This window comes from Homo sapiens, chromosome 12 (assembly GCF_000001405.40).
Source record: "Homo sapiens chromosome 12, GRCh38.p14 Primary Assembly".
NCBI classification, from domain to species: domain Eukaryota; kingdom Metazoa; phylum Chordata; class Mammalia; order Primates; family Hominidae; genus Homo; species Homo sapiens.
Genome location: NC_000012.12, coordinates 66728979 through 66750235, shown reverse-complemented (window position 1 = coordinate 66750235; position 21257 = coordinate 66728979). Strand labels below are relative to the sequence as shown.

The 21257-nt window shown below is 38.3% G+C and overlaps 1 protein-coding gene across 13 annotated transcripts in view, besides 1 other annotated feature; it reads left to right on the top strand.

Annotated features, from left to right (window-relative positions):
* GRIP1 (glutamate receptor interacting protein 1) overlaps nt 1–21257 on the top strand; it is a 721908-nt gene that overhangs the window by 319103 nt on the left and 381548 nt on the right. The gene's annotated exons all lie outside the window — the stretch shown is intronic.
* Nucleotides 14286–16912: an enhancer, noted in NCBI's record as "VISTA enhancer hs1498". NCBI's record gives its function as "enhancer in: hindbrain (rhombencephalon)[10/15] | eye[4/15]" and the evidence as "EXISTENCE:transgenic organism evidence [ECO:0001131][PMID:17130149]".

Genomic DNA, 21257 nt, shown 5'->3' with positions numbered 1-21257 from the left:
TTTAAACTCATGCCATGGATATCATAGAATTCTCCCCAAACCTAAATGCTTGACAGGTGGAATTTTCCTGTTATGACAGTATTGGGCAAAGGAAAGTAAGCTGATATAATCTCTGCTCATTAGAGAGAAGAAAAATGTGTGAACACATCCTATGGTGTACACTGTAGACATATACACATTGGAATGCCTTGTCTCCAGTTTGTTGGGGTTGACTTTGGGGAGGCAGCAGAATCAGTACAGATTACCTCAAGTGGTACTTGGTTTTCAGCCTGAGAAATGAGAAGACTATGAGATGAAATAATCTGCTTTTGTATTAGGCAAGGCATTAAGAGAAATTTATTTCTCTCTCTGTATCCATGTGGACACAAGCAGTCCACCATAACAGGGAGCCAGGCTCCTTCTATGCTGCTGCTCTGACATCTCCGGGGAATTTTCTTCATCCAAGATGCCTCACCACCATTATATCTGCATTTTGGCCAGCAGGATGGGTAAAAGGGTTGGTGGTGGCAGTAGGGAGGGGGTCATCCGGAAGATGCATATGTGAATTCTGCTCACATCCAGTTGCTGCAGGGGAGGCTGGGAAATGAAGTCATCCCCACTTATTCCCAAGTGGCAAAACTGCCAAATTACCGCCACAGGAAGTCTAACTACTGCATACCGGTTAGAAAAAAGGATTACAGTTTTACAAAATCAACGTTTAAGAAGAGTCAGTAAAACACTGCAGAAAATATACAAATTACTTACAGAAAATTAATTTAGAGAACAGAAATAGCCTCATCAGTTTGCTCATAGCCATTGTTTGCTTATGAGCCATTGCATGGTACACAGCTGAGAAAAGGCAAGTTAACTGGGGTGAATAAGGTAGGGGCCATTGAGAATTGAGTTGGTCTCTTTCCCAAATTACACTGAGTAAACAATTCAGAAAAACAGGTGGATCAATAAGTGGTGTCATCCATTCAACATTTCCTTTATGCCCAGTTGGTGTTAGATGTTGTCCTTGGAATTATGAAAATGAGATTGGATTAAACGGTTTTTCTTCGTGAGTAGTTCACATTCTAATGAAGGAGATATACATGTACTAATTAAAACATAATAATAAAAACACCTAGCTAAAATCAGGGGTTCTATAAAAGAAGAGTAGAATGGGAAGAATGGATACTTGCGGGCAACTAGCAGTCTCTGATACAGTTTGCATATTAATGCATGCACTCAACAAATGTTTATTAAGTGTCTGCTGTGCATTATCCCTGCCTAGGTAGTGATCTGTCTGTCTATTGTTTATATAGAGAAGTCTGGGATTTAAACATGTAAAGTATATAAGAATGGTTACCTCTAGGGATGGATACACTCAGGTATAGTACAAATGTTTTATAGAATGCATGTTTTATCCCTGTTATTTAAACAATTGGTTTAAAAATGGTAGCAGCAAACAAATTAGAACATTGAATCTGAAAAGATAAACTCAATCTTTTCAGACTCAATGAAATAGAAAAAAAGACCATATAGAAAGTCCACACAGCCAAGAAATCGTAGACCATGTGTAGAATCAGGGCTGTGAAGGAAAGCAGCTTTAATTGTTTGCACAACAAATATAGAATTGGACCTTAAAGTCTCTCTAGATCCTTAAACCACATCATCCTAAGGCTGCTAGACACATACAGTGTTCTCAGTACAGCTTGGGGTTAGTTGGAACTTACGATAGATACATGCCACTAACACTGGTACTGAAAGTTAAAAGGCAACCTGGCAAGAACAAGTACCATGGGAACCATGTGAGATTAGGGATTACTATTACCCTTATTTTACAATTCAGGAAACTGAGCTAAAGAGAGTTAAATATGACTTCTAAGATTATACAACTATGTATGGTGATGCCAGGATTTGCACCCAGACTCTAAAATTCTTACATAAGTAACTGAGGCCAAGCATGGTGGCTCACGCATGCAATCCCAGCACTTTGGGAGACCAAGGTGGGCGGATCACTTGAGGTCAGGAGTTTCAGACTAGCCTGGCCAACAAGGTGAAACCCCATCTCTACTAAAAATACAGAAATTAGCCGACATGATGGTGTGCCCTGTAGTCCCAGATACTTGGGAGGCTGAGGCAGGAGAATCGCTTAAACCCAGAAGGTGGAGGTTGCAGTGAGCCGAGATTGTGCCACTACACTCCAGCCTGGGCAACAGAGCAAGACTCCATCTCAAAAAAAAATACACACACACACACACACTGACAATAAACAAATACATATTTATATCCACATTTGTAATCTCATTTACACATATGTAAATTTATATATATGCATAAATAATGTATTCTTTCCTTATAATCTCTGAATCCGTATTACGTGAATTATAGTTGATTGTATTCAATGTATTATGTAACTCATCTTTTATTCCCTTTGGAGTTAAAGATCAAATATTTATTTTTATTTTTATTGAGCCAGACACTCTGTACATTTCACAGAGTTCACAAGACAACCCTGGGGGAAAAAAATGTTGGTATTATTAAACCCATTTTGTAGATTAAGAGATTGAGTTTCAGAAAGGTCAAATACTTTAGCTCTTGCTGGGTATATGCCTTTGCTCAAATCTGAATACAGACTTATCCCTCATCCCCAAATAAGCTTTTCTTACTTTGTGTGCTATTGTGCCCATTTTCCATTCCCTGTTGGCCTGAAATAAAATTCCTTTTTAATCCATTTTATTTTTCTCTTAAGCTTTACCTATGTTTTTCATCCCAATCAGAAGGCACGGAAAGAAATGCTTCTTTTACTTCATGTTTAGCAGATGTAACTTACATTTTGAGTCTCTGTCAAGGATGTGTAGCTTGCTTGATTTTAGAAGCTTCTGCTGAAAGATATTCTTTTCATGTACACAGTTGCCTCTTGGATTGTGTAGGCAGCAGTGCTATGGTTATTAGTCAAGTTATTTAATATCCTTTTTGTTAGCTTAGTTTTCAATTTTTAAGTAGTTTATACAGCCAAGGAATCTGGATATAAATTTTATTTACTCAGTTTTTTTAATCCCTTATATTCTTTCTAGAGATCTAGTTTTATTTGAGAGTGTTTAATATGTTCATTTCCTTCTCAGTTCACTTCTTTTCTACATCCAACTAAATAGGCTCTTTTGGTATTTCTAATCCTAAATCCAAAACTGTCCTTATCTATTTATGCTCTATTTTTATCATAATATGTAACTTAATCTTAGCTAATCAGCTCAACCTCTCATCACCATTATTGCCATAACTCAGATGAATGTGGCTTAATTTATTATAATGCTATTTTGCCCATAAATGGATTCTAACAATTTATTGTTCTGCTAGCAGTGGCCTGCAGTGGGCAGGGACAATAGATACCTGGAAGCCTTCCCAGCTGAAAAATAACTCTTTCCTGTAAACTGTCAATTAGAAATCCATTTGGATTAGCAAATTCCCTTAAAATGTCAATGCTTGCTGGGAATGTTAATCCAATCAACCTTTCACACCTTAGTACCTGAGATCTTATTTTAATGAGATAATCATATTCTTTTCCTCTTAGTACCTAATTAAGCTCAGTCATAGGGAAGTAGCTACCCTGTGGGTAATGCAGGTATTCTAAGGCATTCCAGGGGGCATCTGGTAGACCAGCACGAGTAGAGAGCAACAGGAGGGTACCAAAGGTGGAGAAAGACATGTTCCCACTTAGTGCCTTAACAACAGCTTTCTTGCCCTTTTTGTAGCATGCACAATTTCCCCAATTCTATAAAAAGGTGCCTCTCAAACGTCAATGTGCATGTGATTCATATAGGGCTCTTAATGAACTGCAGATTCTGAATGAACAGGTCTGAAGTGCCACCTAAGATTCTGCATTTCTAACAAACTTCCAGGAGATGCCAATGCTGCTGGGCTGTGAACACATTTTCAGGCTTCAATGCTATGAAATATGCAATGTATCCATGAATAAGTTATGGAAATAAGTGGCTCTTTGGATGTTCTTTCATTTATAAATTTTCTTTTAGCTCTTCTTATAGAGATTGATTTCTCTTCTAAGTTCTCCCAGTCAGTTCAGCAGCTTTATTTTATTTTTCAAACAACAAGATTTCTGATGTTTCCTTCCCTTTTCACTGTTTTTATATTCAATCGATGTGGCAGCCAGCAAATTCTGCCAATGCAGAATTTGTATTGTCTTCTGCCTGCACTGGTCCTTCCTATGGTGTTCATTTTGTGAAATATCCTAAGCTAATATATTTGAGAACTAACTTTAAGCACACCAACTTATCCTTTTCAAATTTGAAGCTTTCAGTATCCTCCACAGCAGCCAAAGTACCACCCATCTCTGATTGGGTGTTGCTGAACAGAGGGGCCCTGCACTTCAGTGACCTGGCTTTGCCGCTTCTGACCTTACAGACTATACTCTGATCACTGAACATCTCTCCTGTCATGGCTTCTGGGACACCTCTGTGCCCTGCTTCTAAAAGGTCTTTTTTAGTACGCTGTACTATCTTTACCTCTTTCCTTTGGTGTTTCTGACCTTTTCTTACATTTTGAAATGTCCCTATCCCTCTCCTTCTGCATGTCAAGTCTTATCCTTTTTATGATATTCCTCTAAGTTTACTTCTACTTGCTCTGTGAAATTGGTCATTTCTCTCTGCTCTGTGAAGTGCTTTGCATAATTCTCCTACAGCATTTATCTTCTATTGTAGTCTTTCATGCGTGTATTTGCTTTATCCACTGGAAGGTAAGCTGCTCAAGAACAAAAACATTGTCTTGCTTATCTTTGTGTTTAGAACTCCAAGTGCAATATTTGGGACCTAGTGGGCATAGAATAAATGTTGAATGAATGACTACATTTATTAATCAGCCTGTTTTTCCTTATTATTTACTCTATGTGGGTTCTAATTTATTTACTCTATGTACCTTGTCTTTCTTCAGCTTTGATTCATCTATAGTCTTGAGCAAACATAGGAAGTCTTTCTGTTCTCTATATGAATAATCTGTAAGTCATTTGTGTATTTTCTTCAGGGTTTTACTGACCATTCCTAAATGCTGATTCTGCAAAACTGCAGTCCTTTTTACTGACTAGTTTATATATGTTGGAGTCTGACATCCTATTGAGGTAATTTGGCAGCTTTACCACCAGGGAGCCATAGAAATCTCCGTGTTGCTTGTTATCTATGGACCTTATCTGATGAAGCAATCCTTTCAGTTATGGCCATCAGGTGACGTGTAAAATGTTTGTCCCTGAAATTCAAGTGGCCCCTGCAAAGCGATACTCCTAAGTTTGCCTTTTATAGGACCAGAATGATTGTTAAAACCAGAAGCCAAATTCATTAATTTCTTGCTGTGATATATAACATAGCCATACAATACTACACATTTAGTAAATGTCAGCAGTATTAATAGAACTGTCTGTAATATAATTGAGTAAGATTTCTGTGTATAAAACTAAATTATGATGGATGAGTTACTCAAAGGATGAAGGAAAATAACCTTTAAGTAGTGTCAAAGGCTGGGCGGCACTGGGTTGTATACAGAGAATGAGGTACTGAGACTGAAGCACTAGTAGCTGGGCTAATGTGCAAAGACAGGAGATATATGGGCTGATGGGCCAGGCCTCTAGGAGAACCAGGCAATGAAAGGTTAACATGTAGCTGGAGGTCTGCAATGAGTTTAGCAGTCCAGAGCAGATTGCTTCACAATCAGGAACTATTATTCAAACAAATCTTGGCGGTCAGAATGCACCGTAGGACCCAAACCCAGGAAGACAGACCAGGCAGCAGGAATCTAGCTGAGGATTCATGGAGAAAGAGGAACCAGAAGCTCATCAAAAATATCTGTGTAGGACATATAGGGCATTATGTTTATTATCTCCCGGGCACAGTGTCCTAAAAAGAGCAGGCTAATAATTGCAGAAAAAATGTAATGACTAGAGAAAGCGTGAAAGGGAAGAGAAAGCCTATCCTTATAGGAATGAACCTTTTTTTTTCAGGAATAGAAGATAAATGTACTGGTGTGGCATGATGGGAAAACAGTATAATAAATTAAATTAGATTTAGGCAATGTTTTATTACTTTCATTTTCATGTATTTATGTATGTACTCATTTGCTTGTTTATTAACTTACTCTGTTACTTGCTTTGGTAACTTTCCACTGGCAGCACCTGGAAGAATGAGAGCTAGGTAGCTCTCTAGAGAGCATGCTCATAGTATGAAGATAATATTTTAATTAAGACACAGGAAGCAATGGAAAAGCACTGAAGGAACCTGAAAAAGAAATTACTATTATCATAGATAAGGACAAGGAATTCTGTACAGCTATAGGATCTGTATTTTTGAGTGGAAGGTAGAGAAGCTACTGTCAATGAAAATTGCCTCCTTTCACTTGAATATGTAATGGAGGAAAGGTCCTCTACAAAGATTTCAGTCTTTCCATAGCTGTAGCCCTTGTGGCAATCCACTGGTAACTGATGTTTTTGAATAGAAAATTGATTAATTTACCGGCACACCAATTTTAACACTATTAACTTTGTCTGGCTTTATTGGATAATGTTGGCTTTCCTCCTCCTCCTTGTTATCTTATAATCTGGGGATTTGCACAGTATCCTAGACACTCCAGGACAGGATCCTGGTAAAGGTTGAGTGCATGGCCACACACACACACACAAAAAAAAAGCCTATTTACGTTATGGACATCATTGATTCAACTTGTCCCTTGGAAAGTATGATCACTATTTATTCTGGCTGATATATTGACTTCTTCCAGGTCCCTGGCTCTTGATCCACGGATCTAATTGGATCAGTCATACCTTGGCTTCTGAAAGGGTTCCTCCTCATGACCCCTACTCTGTTTAGGATTCATAATAAAGTTTCCCTGGTCACTCCACCAGCTTGGATAATAGCAAGACTCCTGCTACCACCCAGACTTAATCCTTCCACTTTGGGGGAGGTTGCCACTCGCCCAGTGGTTCTCAGCATTGTTTCTACCCCAACATATTTGGGAATACAACTATACCTACTAGTAACCTACAGCTATAATCATTCCCCAAAAATATTTTCAACAAATATTTAATGAGTACCTGTTGCATGCCATCTAATCCCTGGGGTAGATGTTAGGTGAGTAAATGCAGTCCTTGCATTCTAGCTGGAGAATGGTTCTCTTCTTTATTTATTTTTCATGTCTATTATTGCTACCATGGGTTTTGGACGGCTGCTTGTTTGTCTTAAGAAGTAGACATCTCTTCCAATCAGGAAAGGCTGCTGTTTCTGTGGTACATTGAAAAGTTTCATTTTCTAAATGCTACCTGTTCTTATGACAGAGAGGTATGTACTGTTCTTTTTTTCAATAAGAATTTAATTCTTACATTGACTATTTTTCCTCCTACTTTTGCTAGTCATTAACTGCCTACAATTAACTACTGGTTTTAATTGTCAAAAATAGATAATAAATTTGACTGACATTCTCTATTTTTTATTACCTCATCATGTCTCATTTGCCCTTTTCTTCTCTCAGCTTGCCATTTTATATGATCATCTAGGGAAGGAGCAGCCACTTCCTCAAATGTTGTTTTCTATTTCCTGTTCTATCTCTCACTTGAAACAACTTTGCAATGCACTTTTTTTTTTAACATTTTTCTGAGTAAATGAGTGTATTATGATACACCAGAAATAGCCATAGATCCTTCTTATCCAAATAGTGTAAATCTGTTTATCACTTCCTTTCCAATTAACCTTTCTTCAAGATGATCCTGGAAGTGCTGTTGTTGTTTTTACTTGACTTTATAATCACCTTCCTGTAGTAATCCATTCTACTTCTTGAGGTGCTGGTAGTCTTGTCAGGATGCCCTTGTGGGTGGCATAGCTGCGTGTAGCAATTTATACTGGTTCCTTGAAGATTACAAGCAAATATTTCTGTTTGGTATCAGTTTCTCTCCGTTTTCCTAAGGAAACTATTTTATTACTAGTTCATTTGTAACAAAATATCCCAACTTCTTTGAAAGAAAGATGAGTTGAGGTGGCTTCCAGTAAAAATGCAAATATAACAGCACAGTTAATGTCAGAAAGAAACACCAGACCTCTCAGAGAGGAAACTTTATGGAGTTTTCAGTACTAAACCTCAGAGAAACTGGCAGCCCTCATAAATCAAAGGCAAGAGGTATGAAAATAAAGTAATACTAGAGCAGGGAAATAACCTAGTTACTGTATAAAGCAGAGAAGAAAAAGGTACAGTGGTGTATAATTCTACACTTTAGTATTGTGAGCTGTTGACAGAAAATTGTTTTCTTTAGTATGAGTTGAGTGAAGAATTGGTAGAGAGGTTGGGAAGCAATGAAAAGAAACAGTGCTTGGCAAAGAAAAGCATAAGGAAAAAGCTGGCTGTTTTCTAAAGATGGGAAGCCATTATGTTTAGAAACTTGAAGAATATTCACAGATTAGTGATGGTCTAGTCTGTCCTATCTGATAATACCATAGCCACTAGCTGCATGTGGCTGGCTATAGAGCATTTGAAATGTAGCTAGTCCAAATTGAGATGTGCTGTAAGTACAGAATACATACCAGATTCCAAATCTTAGCAACCCCCCAATATGAAACCTTAATAACGTTTAGATTGATTACATGTTGAAATGGGAAATTTTTGGCATTAAATAAATATTATTAAAATTAATTTCACATTTTTTTATATTTGCTTACATGTGACTACAGAAAATTTAAAATTACATATGTGACACACATAATATTTCTACTGGATAGTGCTGGCCTAGCCCCATACCCTGTTGGTGGGACTATCTTTTATCTCTGCGACAAGTTAACTTTCTGAATGCCGATCTTACTTTATCCCCACATTTTCCCTCTGAGTTGGTTAATTTCTTTTTAGGTAGTTGTTTTATCTGTTTTGGAAAGTTTATTTTTAATGTAGGAGGTGGAGATGAGTAAAGAGAATGTATAGCATAATTGGAGAATTATTTTCATGGACAAGCCCTACAGACAATCCCTTTGAAATAAAGGGTTTTTAAGTACTTTTTTAAAAAGTAAGAACTGCTATCAAATGTTGATTATGGATAGATATCCTATACAAAAAGCACTTAGGAGAAGAAATTGCTTCAGAATAATTCTCTTTTATTTGTATTAGTAGGAGTAGATGTTGCATCTTCTATGAAAGAGAGCTGGGAACAATTGTTAGAGAAAGGGGAGCTGTTTTTCTGAGCATCATTCTTCACAACCAAGCCCGTTTCAAGGAGCCTTGGTCAAATTGGACATTTTTTTTCTTTAATTGAATTTCTAGCTTTGAAAATTAAATGTGCATACATTGAAAGCATATGTGCCCATATCACATATGCATCTGGCTATGCTGAGAGAGAATATGAACTCCTCCACCCAGGGTTGAGAAAGAGGACTTTGGTTGGCTCCTGCTTCCAGCATGTCCTAGCTCTTTAATCTTAGTTTTTTTTTTTATCTCTCCAAGCCTAATTTTTCTCAAATATAACGTTTAAATAATCTCATTATATATTCATGAGTTGTTGTGAGGATTGCATGAGATAATTATCCAAGGCATCTAGCACAGTGTCTGGCACATTAGTGCTCCATAAATATTAACTGCTCTTATAGATGTAAGTTTGATTCTAAATACAGTCTTCATTTACCTCCCTATAGTTTGGCTTGTATTCTTCTAATGGGATGAATCAACAGAAGGCTAAGTGGTTTTTCCAACATCTTTAATGAGTTAAAAGCACTTTTGGCGTTAGAACTCAGGTTTCAAACCATCTATGCCATGGGCCAGGAGCCAGAAATTATTTCTGGCCACAGTTCAGATTCTAGGAGAAAAACCGGAGTGACTGCAGTCTTAACATCCTTTGTTGAAGTCAAGAACTGTACACTGATGCTGATGCTGACATTTGTATCACTTATGACTCATAGGCACGGACAGGGGTGAGGATGGTCCAGTTAAATTCAGATGGCCAGATCCAGCTGAGGAAGGCAAACCTGAAATTAGATCTTTTCCATCTAGGGTAAAAGTGGGGCTAGGAAGGCCAGACAGAATGAAAAATCGGTGATTTTTGCAAGATGTATATTCATCATCAGTGATCTAACAGACATGGCATAGCAACAAGGACATCTGATTGCCAGACCACACCCAGTCACCAGGTTTCTTGGCACAGCTCTATCTGAGGCTCTCCTTAGTTCACATTAAGGGCATCTGTCAGAAGAGCTTGGATAAAAATGGCAGGACTCAGGGTCACAGGGGAGAGCTGACAAGGGGAGGATCTCAGTCTTGAGGCTGCTGGGCTGCAGACTTGGGGACAGACTCAGCTTCCTAATCCATTTCCTAGAATTCATGAGTGAGGAAGATGGGTAGAGACTACTATTGAGGACTGAGCCTCAACAGACTTATAGGAAGTTTGGCATGATGCTGATTTTTCCTTATTCAGTATTATTCCTTATTCTCAGAACATGAAAGGAGGCTGGGTTTCAGGTTAGAAAGAGGGGACTGGATGGAGGACTGGTTTTTTTTTTTTTATTTTATTTTAGGTTCTGGGATACATGTGCAGGATGTGCAGGTTTGTTTCATAGGTAAATGTGTGCCATGGTGGTTTGCTGCACCCATCAACCCATCACCTAGGTGTTATGCCCAGCATGCATTAGCTATTTATCCTGATGCTCTCCCTCTCCTGTCACTTCCCTGCCCCCGCACCATGGAGGACTATTAAATGCTCCCCTCACTAAGGGAATCAGAATCTCAATAATCAGTTTGACAAATATGGCTATCACTGAGACTGTGGGATATCTCAGCAATGCCTTTAACTGGTGCATGGGGCTTGGAGCCAAAGATTCCTTCATAGAAGATAAAGCTTCTGCTTGTGAGATGTGTATTACCTTATCAAATAAGTCAGTCAGTTGCAGAGTAAGACTGCTGGCTCCACCATACATTCTTTGTGCAAATTACTTTGGCCTTCTAAGCCTCAGTCTTTTCTTCTGTAAAATTGAGATAAATTATAGGACATAAGAGTTCTGTGAGGTTTACATTCATCATCAAACTAGAAAACCTGGTATATTCATAAGTACTCAGTAGGTGTTAATCATAATGATTATTATCTAATCTCTTAGTTGTCCTGTTGGCATGAGTTACAGTAGACAAGGTACTTCTTTGATGACTTTTTAGCCCAGAATTTTATCGTGACCAGAGCACATTATAGACCCGGTGTTTGTGGTCACTGGAGAATGTACTGACTTATTAATCATGTTAATCTATGAACAAATATATAAGGCTCTCCAAGTCAAGGATCAAAGTTCCTGGGGAACCTCTGAACAAAGTGAAGGACAGAAGAACCCTGAGTATGTAAAGGAGGAATTGGGTAGGATGGCTTCTGGCATGAGTGGAGAGGCAACGTAGAAAAGTCAGCTTCCATTCTGGAAACAGATATACACCTTCATGTCATTGCACTAGGAGGATATCAAGGGCATTTATGAGTCGCCTTTATTCTCCATACTTAACTCTCTTATGCCCACCCATTTCCATTCCTTCTCACAGCTGGCATGCTAATGTAAGCCCCCATCAACTGTCCCCTGGACTATCACTGGGGCCTTGAGCTCATCTCCCTGTGTCCCCTTTTGCTCCTTCTGACCCATCTTCTTCACATCACAGGAACAATCTCTCAAAACCAACAATGGGCCTTACCTCTTTTTCCTGCTTGAAATCCTCTGATGGTTTCATATGTTTCTTGCAATTAAAAAAAATGAAATAAGTGGGTGGGCGTGGTGGTTCATGCCTGTGATCCTAGCACTTTGGGAGGCCGAGGCAGGCAGATCACAAGGTCAGGAGATCGAGACCATCTTGGCTAACATGGTGAAACCCTGTCTCTACTAAAAAAATACAAAAAATTAGTCGGGCGTGGTGGCGGGTACCTGTGGTCCCAGCTACTTGGGAGGCTGAGGCAGGAGAATGGTGTGAACCCGAGAGGCGGAGCTTGCAGTGAGCCTAGATAGAGCCACTGCACTCCAGCCTGGGCCACAGAGGGAGACTCTGTCTCAAAAAAAAAGAAAAAAAAAAGAAAAAGAGAAATCTATGACATCACTTGCCAGGCTCCCATGTTCTTACCTCTGCCTGCCTTGCCAGCTCTCCTCCTGCTGTGCCTTCTCTCAGCCCATCTCTGCACTTCTTCCCAGTCCTTCAACACCTGTGCTTCTCTCTGCCCCCAGGCCTTCCAGCCAGGGGGTCCCAGGCACCAGAAGTGAATTCCCCTCAACCCCCTTCTGTCTGCCCTCCTTCCCACGTGAATCCTTCCTTGATTCCTTTCATCTGGTCAGCTCCCATTAGTATGCTCTCTTTGCAGCCTGCCCTTTCTCTTTTCAGTGCGTGATCACAACTGTATTAGGCAATCACCTGTCTAATGTCTGCCTTCTTAATTAGAACTTCAAATTCACGTGGGCATAACATCGGTCTGCCTTATTCCTTGTGGTATCCTGGATGTCGAACATAACACCTGGCACCTGGTGGGCAATGATTAAATATTTGTGGAAAGAATGGGCAAAATAAAAGAGTAAAAAAAAATGAGTGCAAGATACAGTGAAGTGATGTGGCAATATTGCTAACTTTTAAAAATATTGTCAAAGAGATACTGAGTTCGAGGAAGAGGAAGATAGAAATTATGCTGGAAATGCTGGAGAGATAAGGAGTAATGAGATGACTTTCTGAGGTGAGCTCATGCCTGTAATCCTAGCACTTTGGGAGGCCAAGGCAGATGGATCATGAGGTCAGGAGTTCAAGACCAGCCTGACCAACATGGTGAAGCTCCTTCTCTATTAAAAATACAAAAATTATCTGGGTATGGTGGCACACGCCTGTAATTCCAGCTACTCAGGAGGTTGAGGCAGCAGAATTTCTTGAACCTGGGAGGCGGAGGTTGCAATGAGCTGAGATCGCGCCACTGCACTCCAGCCTAGGTGACAGAGTGAGACTCCATCTCAAATTTGAAAAAAGGAGAAAGAGATAGAGGGTAGCCTGGAAATCACTAGAGGTGAAACAGAGGACAATTTGCAGAACCTAGAAAGAAAAAAACGAGTCAGTCACAGTGAACTGCAACCTAAGCAAACAAGCATCTTATGCAACTGAGGGGAATGACATAGTAACCCCTGTATCCAAGGGAAGGAAACTGACCCTTGTTTAGCCCCATAATTTATTCAACCCACCCAGATGCACACATGATCGTGGCCAGCTCTTCTAACATTAGTATTTTTTGCCGCTTCGCAGCTGTACCTGAAAATCCCTGATGAATAGTTGTCAGTCTGCAGAGCCCAGGGAATGTTAGAATGTAAGGGTTTTAACACAATTTCAAAAAAAAAAAAAAAAATGACTTGCAAACTGTATATCAAAGCAAGCACTGATGTATATTCAATTTGCAGACTACTTTTCCAGAAAATGTCATAGTGGATCTTGTCTAGTTCCAATGTATCTTTATGGTATCAATTTATCTACCTAGTGAAATTCTTTCCAAATATCTTTTTAAATTTTTCATATAACTTTTTTTCAGGGACTTTTAGTAGCAGATGAATATCAATTTAAACATTTAAAATATAGTTGACCCTTGAATTGCATGGGTTCACTAGTGTGCAGATTTTCTTCCACCTCTGCCACCCCTGAGATAGCAACATCAACCCCTTCTTTTCCTCCTGCTCCTCAGCCTACTGAACATAAAGACAAGGAGGATGAAGACCCTTATGATGACCCACTTCTACTCAATGAAAAGTAAATCTATTTTCTCTTCCTTATGATTTTCTTTCTAGCTTTAAGAATACAGTATATAATACTTATACAAAAATATGTTAATTGCAGAGTTTGAGACCAACCTAGAAAACATAGCAAGACCCTGTATCCTAAAAAAAAAAAAAAAAAAAAAAAAAAAAAAAAAAAAAAAAAAAAAATTAGCCAGGCACGGTGGTGCACACCTGTAATCCTAACAACTTGGGAGGTTGAGGTAAGAGGATTGCTGGAGCCCAGGAGTTGGAGGTTACAGTGAGCTATGATTGGTGTGCTATGATGGTGCCACTGTATTCCAGCCTAGGCAACAGAGCAAGACCCTGTCTCTGAAGAAAAATATAATAATTGACTGTTTATGTTATCAGAAAGCCTTCTGGTCAACAGTAAGCTCTTAGTGAAGTTTGGTGGGAGTCAAAAGCTATACACAGATTTTTGACTGTGCAGGGGTCAGCCCTCCCCAACCCCTCAGCATTGTTTAAGGGTGAACTGTTTATGTTCACCTTCTCTTCTTCTCCTGGGTGCCACATCTCATATGTGTCTCAAGATCCCTCTTCTCATTCAGCTGCATGATATCCCAAGGGCCATCTTTGCCCACTAGTCATGGGGGAGTGGAGGGAGTGCCTGTAAATACAGTTTAATGCTGAGGCATATTGTCTTTGGGATAGAGTCAGGCTGAAAATGATTAAGACCTGGGATTATGGAGAGATTTGTCTTCGTAATGGCAGCTTTTGCATCTGGAAGTCCCGCCACTTATGATCGATTGCCCTGCTTATTTGGCCTATTTTCTCAGACTACTTCTTGATGGTCTCTTTCCCCTGACACCTTACTCTCCCCTTCCTGTCACCTTTGTTCTCAGGTTTTCTCCTCTCTTGTCACCTCCATTTCTTTTTTTCCCCTCCTGCTGCCACTTAAACTTTTTTATCTTCCTACCAAGTTTAATCAGATTTTCCCTTTTGTCATAAAGCCGTCTTAGAATGACTCCAGGCAGTAAGAAGTGAGTCAGAAATTTATGTCCAGACTGTGAGATTGTTATGCTCTTGGATTCCCCTGCCACCGCTGTCACTGGGCTAGTGAGCGTGTTTATTATTGACTTCACAGTCTCTTTTAGTGACTTTGTTCCTATAACTTTTCTTTACTCCAGAATTACTCTTTATCTTGCAGTCTTTTTCCTATGCCTCAGAAAATTCTTATTATTTACTTCGACATTATAAGCATATTTTTACTTTCTCTATGAGTATCTTAAAACCCACTCATCCTTTCATAGAACCATGGAAGTCTGTTATAATAAAACTTACTATTCCATAGATTTGCACACAATCCAGAACAATCACGCTCCTATAAATCCTATTGAGAAGAACAACAGGGACTCCACTTTTTGCTTCCCATCACTGCTGTGAGGACAAGCATTTGAGCATTTCTTTGTCCCAGTTTCTACTGGAGAAACTGTGCAAGGACATCATAGAAGTACCCACCTCACAGGATTGTCATTCATGTTAAATGAGTTCATACATGTAAAAATATTATCAAAAGACCTGTCCACACTTCATGCTCAATAAATTTGAGTTATTATATTACGTAGACTTAATATTATTACCATAATTGAGGCTTGACATAATATGCAGCCTTTAATATAAAATCACTTTTATAAGAGATTCCACTCTTCTTTAAGCCTCAATTAGTCTAGCGATGTTTCTTTTTAAGAATGAATTTCCTAATGCTGCCTTTTTTGCTGCATTTTTATAACACTCTTCCTACCATTCACAAAACAAATGTTTATTCCTGTCCATCTATGGAGGGAAGTTATCTGTTTCTGAAGTTATCTTCCCACACTGATCTAATTCTTTCCCTTTTTAAAATATCTTGTTTATTTTAAAATATCTTAAAATATCTTGTTCCTCACAAATCATTCCATCATAGATCTGTATACTAAGAAAATGAATACCTCTGTATTTTGACTCTTGTTTCCTTCTTTAAAGTACAGTTCAGAGGGGTGATTTTAATTTTTAAGCCCTAATCAATCTGAGCTGTTGTTACTGTAGAAACCACATTTCTCATCCTGAAACATGACAGCAGTGATCGCCCCTGACAGTTCATAGACCTGAATTTCAGACAATCAAAGGCAAAGCAATTTGGAGGTCTGATCATTTAGAATTTTCACAGTTTCAAGGAAGCACAGTACAGGTTCTCTTCCAATTTGTCAGAAGCAAGGAAAAGCGCATAGTTGGAGAGCTGAGTGCCAGCTTTCAGCCCTAGGTATCAGTGCCAAACACATTTTTATTATTCTCTGGAAAATAAGGTTGTAAAAAAGTAATTGCTGACACAACCTTAATGATAGCACTTTAAGGATGCTGCTGTAATTAAAATAGGAATTTTATTAAACTAGACCTCTGAGAGCCTAACATACGTAGCATTCCGATCTCAGGATTTACAAAGCAAGCAACTTTGATTCCTGCTGCTTTTGCTGTGTGGGCCCCACATTTCCTTTTTGCCTCTCCTAGTTGCAGCGTACGTAGAAAACCACCTCTCTCCTGAAAAAAGCAATAAGCATCCATGTTTAGAATAATGCCCTGTGGTGATAGTGCCACAGCTTTAGCACACTTACCTCTGAAATGTCATGAAAGGAGCTCCTCTCTCCTTTGATTTCCCTTGAAATAAAACTGTCATGTGTTATGCAGTGAGGTTAAAATCCTACAGGATGTTTTGGTTAAAATTTGAAGAAGGCTGTCTTACTTCAGTGGGATGTCATATCCATTTTATTCCTATTTTACTGATGGATGGGTTAGATATTGTACACAGCTGCTAGATATAAAGACCTAAAAATAGTGGCTTTAAAAATTTAGTTGATTATTTTTCATCTGTGATGAGAATTTTACAGGTTGGTGGCCCACGTGTAGTGATGCTACAGTCACCAGTGGGACCCAGGAGCCTTCCATTTTTCCTGCTTGGACATCCTTAACATGTGGTTGTTACCTCAGGCCCCAAGATGGCTGCCTGAGCTGTAGCCATCTCATCCAAGTTCCATGGAGGAAGAAGGGCAAAGGAAAGAGTTACATCCCAGCTACATCAGCCCTCTGCTTTAAGGCACTTTCCTCAGAAGTCCCATCCAGAAACATCCACTCATATCTTATTAGCCATGACTTAGTCATGTAGAAAATGTATAGTTTATTGGCTTGAGTATATTGCCATCACTCTGAAAAATCAGTGTTCCATATTAGAAAAAAAGAAAAGGGATGTTAGTTCACCAATTAGCAGTCTTTACCACAACCAACAATGTATAAAAACAAGTATAAGCAGCAGAACCCCCTCTCTCCACGTTGTTATTTTCCCACAGTAAATACTTATTTATTCAGCATATAAATAATTAGATTCTGGCATGGTGGCTACAAGGATGCTTCTCAGGAGGCTAAGGTGGGAGGATCACTTGAGCCCAGGAGTTTGAGTCCAACCTGGGCAACACAGCAAGAACCCATCCCTTTTTAAAAAACATAGAAAGTCATCTTAAAGCTGCGATTATTTTCCTGTTGATAACAAAATTACTCTTTATTATGATAAAATTTGGGCCTAGCACAATCCTTAATGACTTTTCTGAATTGTCAAATCTTCTGTTATTTAAGTATCCTTTTCATGTTACTTTAGTGTTTTACATTGCAAATAATCATTGAACAAAGTGGGGATTAGGGGCACTGACCTCTTGCATAGTCAGAAAATCTGCATATAACTTTTGATTCCCTAAAAACTTAACTGCTAATAGCCTACTGTTGACCAGAAGCCTTACTGATAACATCAATAGTCAGTTGATACATATTTTATATGTATTATATACTATATTCTTGTAATAAAGTAAGCTAGAGAAAAAGTGTTAAGAAAATTATAAGCAAGAGAAAATGTATTTCCTTTTCATTAAGTGGAAGAGTGTCATCAAAAAGGTCTTCATTCTTTTGTTTTTTTTTTGTTTGTTTGTTTGTTTTGAGACGGTGTCGCCCAGTCTGGAGTGAAGTAACACAATCACAGCTCACTGCAGCCTCAACTTTCCAGGCTCAAATGATCCTCCCACCTCCGCCTCCCAAGTAACTGGGACTACAGGTGTGCACCAACATGCTTAGCCAATTTTGTAACTGTTTTTTAGAAACAGGGTCTCACTATGTTGCTCAGGCTGGTCTTGAACTCCTGTCCTTAAGTGATACTCTGGCTTCAGCCCCCTCAAAGTACTGGGATTACAGGTGTGAGCCACCATACCTAGCCTAGAAAGGTCTTTATGCTTATCATCTTTATGTTGAGTAGGCTGAGTAGGAGAAGGAACAAGAGGGATTGGTCTTGCTGTTTCAGAAGTTGCAGAGACAGAAGAGGTAGAGAAGGTGGAAGGGGAGGCAAGAGGAGCAGGTGTAACTTTTAGTGAAAAAAAAATCTACATATAAGTGGACCCACACAGTTCAAACCCGTGTTATTCAAGGGTCAATTGTATTTGATATAGAGGCATTTGGATACAAGGCTTTGGGTACCAACTTAGAAGAATGAATTTCATCAACATTGCATTTCTCAATTTTTTGAATTAACACAAGTTTCTTATAAATCTAAAATCTACTACAAATACATTTGAAAATTTAAAAGCCATATCCTCAACATATTTTATGTGTCAATACAAATAGGCCCTGCCTCTATTGTTAGCCTGCCATAGTCCACTTAATTTACTCTGCCATGAAGAATTCTCTCAAGATTTCTTAAAATTGTGATTAAATATACATAACATAAAATTTACCATTTTAACCACTTTTAGTATACAGTTCAGTGGCATTAAGCACCTTCACATTGTTGCACATCTCCCATAGTTTTAAAATTTCTTTATTATGACCTAATTCTTTTCTTGTCTACCATAGTATTTGACACCAAGTAGTGCTCTAGTAATGTTTGTGCAGTCAGATAGATTTTCAGGTAACAAGTAGTCATTTTCCCACCATGTTTATTTATAGTTTCAATGATTAAATAAGGCAGATATTGTATAAAAGGTTATAAACAGGTCTCATTGGACAACTGGATAACATCTTACTTAACAGTAAATGCTCTTATCCAAAACATTGCACAGTGATCTTATGTGGTTATAGCACCTTCATCCCACAGTCCCTAAAACTAAATGTAAGACATGTAAAAAGTCAAATGTCAAAAATCATTTTATGACACAATTTAATATCTCTTCTCAGCCCAATGTGTTATAATACCAGCTTAATGATAGTCCAAAAGTGGTTTTCATCTTTAATCTCTTTTAATGGTACTTATAACAAAGACTTCTTTTCTTTTTTATTTCATTCTGTTTTGTTTGAATCCGTGAAACCTATTTCTTTCTTCTTTAGCAATCCAGTAATCCTCCTTAAAATAATGAAATCCACAGGCAGAGAAAATATCTAATGAGATCTCTCTAAGAATAAATGTGTGTGTCTAGAAAACTTCATGGGCTGTATGACTCCAAAGCCAGAAGAGTAGGCTTATAGTCTCCCTTTGTTATTTAACCAACAATGATAAAAACAGCTTTTATTTTAAGGTTAATAATTATGCTTTCCACACTTGCTTAGTGTCTTTTCTTCCCAAGAATACAGAATATTCTATTGATAGAATGCCATTAAAGTTTCAGGCATTAAAGTGACAGGGCAGCCAAAGGCACATAAAAAGAGAGAGAGAAAGGTAATATACATTTTTTTTTCAAATTTGAATTAAGTACTTTTCCTGCATAACAGTTCAGTACTGTGGTCCGTCACCTTCTCCCCAGCACACTGGGCATGGGAAATACCATGTATGAGTTTTTTTTTTTTTTTTTTTTGTAGATGACCCTCTTGGTATCTTATTTTTGGACTAGTATCCATTTAGGCTTTGGGCTTGTACTTAAGAGCAAGTATATTTTAGGTTAACAATTTATATCTTCTGTGGGTAACTTACCTTTAAGAAAAGGATGTATATTTCACATATATTTTTGAAATTTGAGCTTTTTTGGACAGATAATTATAATTCTTGTAAACTCAGGAGATTGCTATGGATCTTTAGTAACAGAAATTGTAAATATAAACTTAAGCAATAAATGATGCATTTTTCAACCATTGTTCCTGCTCCTAGAATTTTTAAGTAAGCTACATACACACAATTCAAATATTAAGACATTTGCAATTATAGCTATTTATGAAACAATTTGCAGGATTCTAAAACCACTACTAGCCATTAGTGATAGATACTATTTTATAGTAGAAATTCAGAGTGGTGGAGCTGTTTATGACGCTAGGAAATGTTTGTGCTTTTTAAATTTTACGGTAAAATAAAAACCATTAGTATGGCATAAATTTATTGGAAAGTAGATTAAAATAGAACTACTAATAGGTGTAATAATTTCATAGTTCAGTCATTTTACAGCTATCAAGTGGCTATTATATATGAGTCAGTCTGCTGTATGCTGGTTTTGCGAAGCATTGGAGACAGAGTTTTCTGAATATTCACTTAAATAGAAGATAAGACAAGGAAGAATTATAAAAATAAAGACAAATATGTAATTTTCTAGTTATCGCTATGATGCATACAATTTTCCTTAAGATATATGCTATAGTAAAGCAGTGATTAAGCTTGAGTCTTATAGTCAGAGAGGCTTAAGTATGTATTCTGGGGCTGGGTGCGGTGGCTCACTCTTGTAATCCCAGCACTTTGGGAGGCCGAGGTGGGTGGATTACGAGGTCAGGAGATCGAGACCATGCTGGCTAACACGGGGAAACCCCGTCTCTACTAAAAAATACAAAAAATTAGCTGGGCGTGGTGGCGGGCACCTGAGGTCCCAGCTACTGGGGAGGCTGAGGCAGGAGAATGGCATGAACCCAGGAGGCAGAGCTTGAAGTAAGCCGAGATCGCACCACTGCACTCCAGCCTGGGCAACAGAGCAAGACTCCGTCTCAAAAAAAAATATGTATCCTGGTTTTACCTTCCATCATTGAGTAGCATGCGACCATGAACAAATTACTTACCCATTCAAGTCTCTATTCTGTAAATTGGAAGATATAATAGTCCTTCCTTCTAGATTTACTTTTGAAAAAGGAGTTAAGTGAAATATGTAATGTTAAGTGCATAACATGGTGCCTGGCACATATGTATTTATTATGCTCACTATTTGCCTTTATATTTTCATTACAAATAAGTCACATATTTTATTTGGAATAAAACTGCATATATTAATGTCAGTATGGTTTTTCTTAATACTAGCCAAAAACCTAAAATTAAATACCAGAAAGTAACAGATAATATGTGCCTTTTCCATCAAATTTAGGCCTTTAATGCTAGCAGTCAAGACTAGCATGTTTTAGTTAGGCTCAGTGGTGCACATCTATAGTCCCAGCTACCCTGGAGGCCAAGGTGGGAAGATCACTTGAGTCTAGGAGTTTAAGTCTAGCCTGGGAAACATAGTGAGAACCCATCTCTTTAAAAAAAAAAAAAAAATTAACGTATTTTGTCTGAAGAATGTATCCTTAACCTAGTTAACCCACAGCTCCTTTTTTATTTGAGTGATTGGA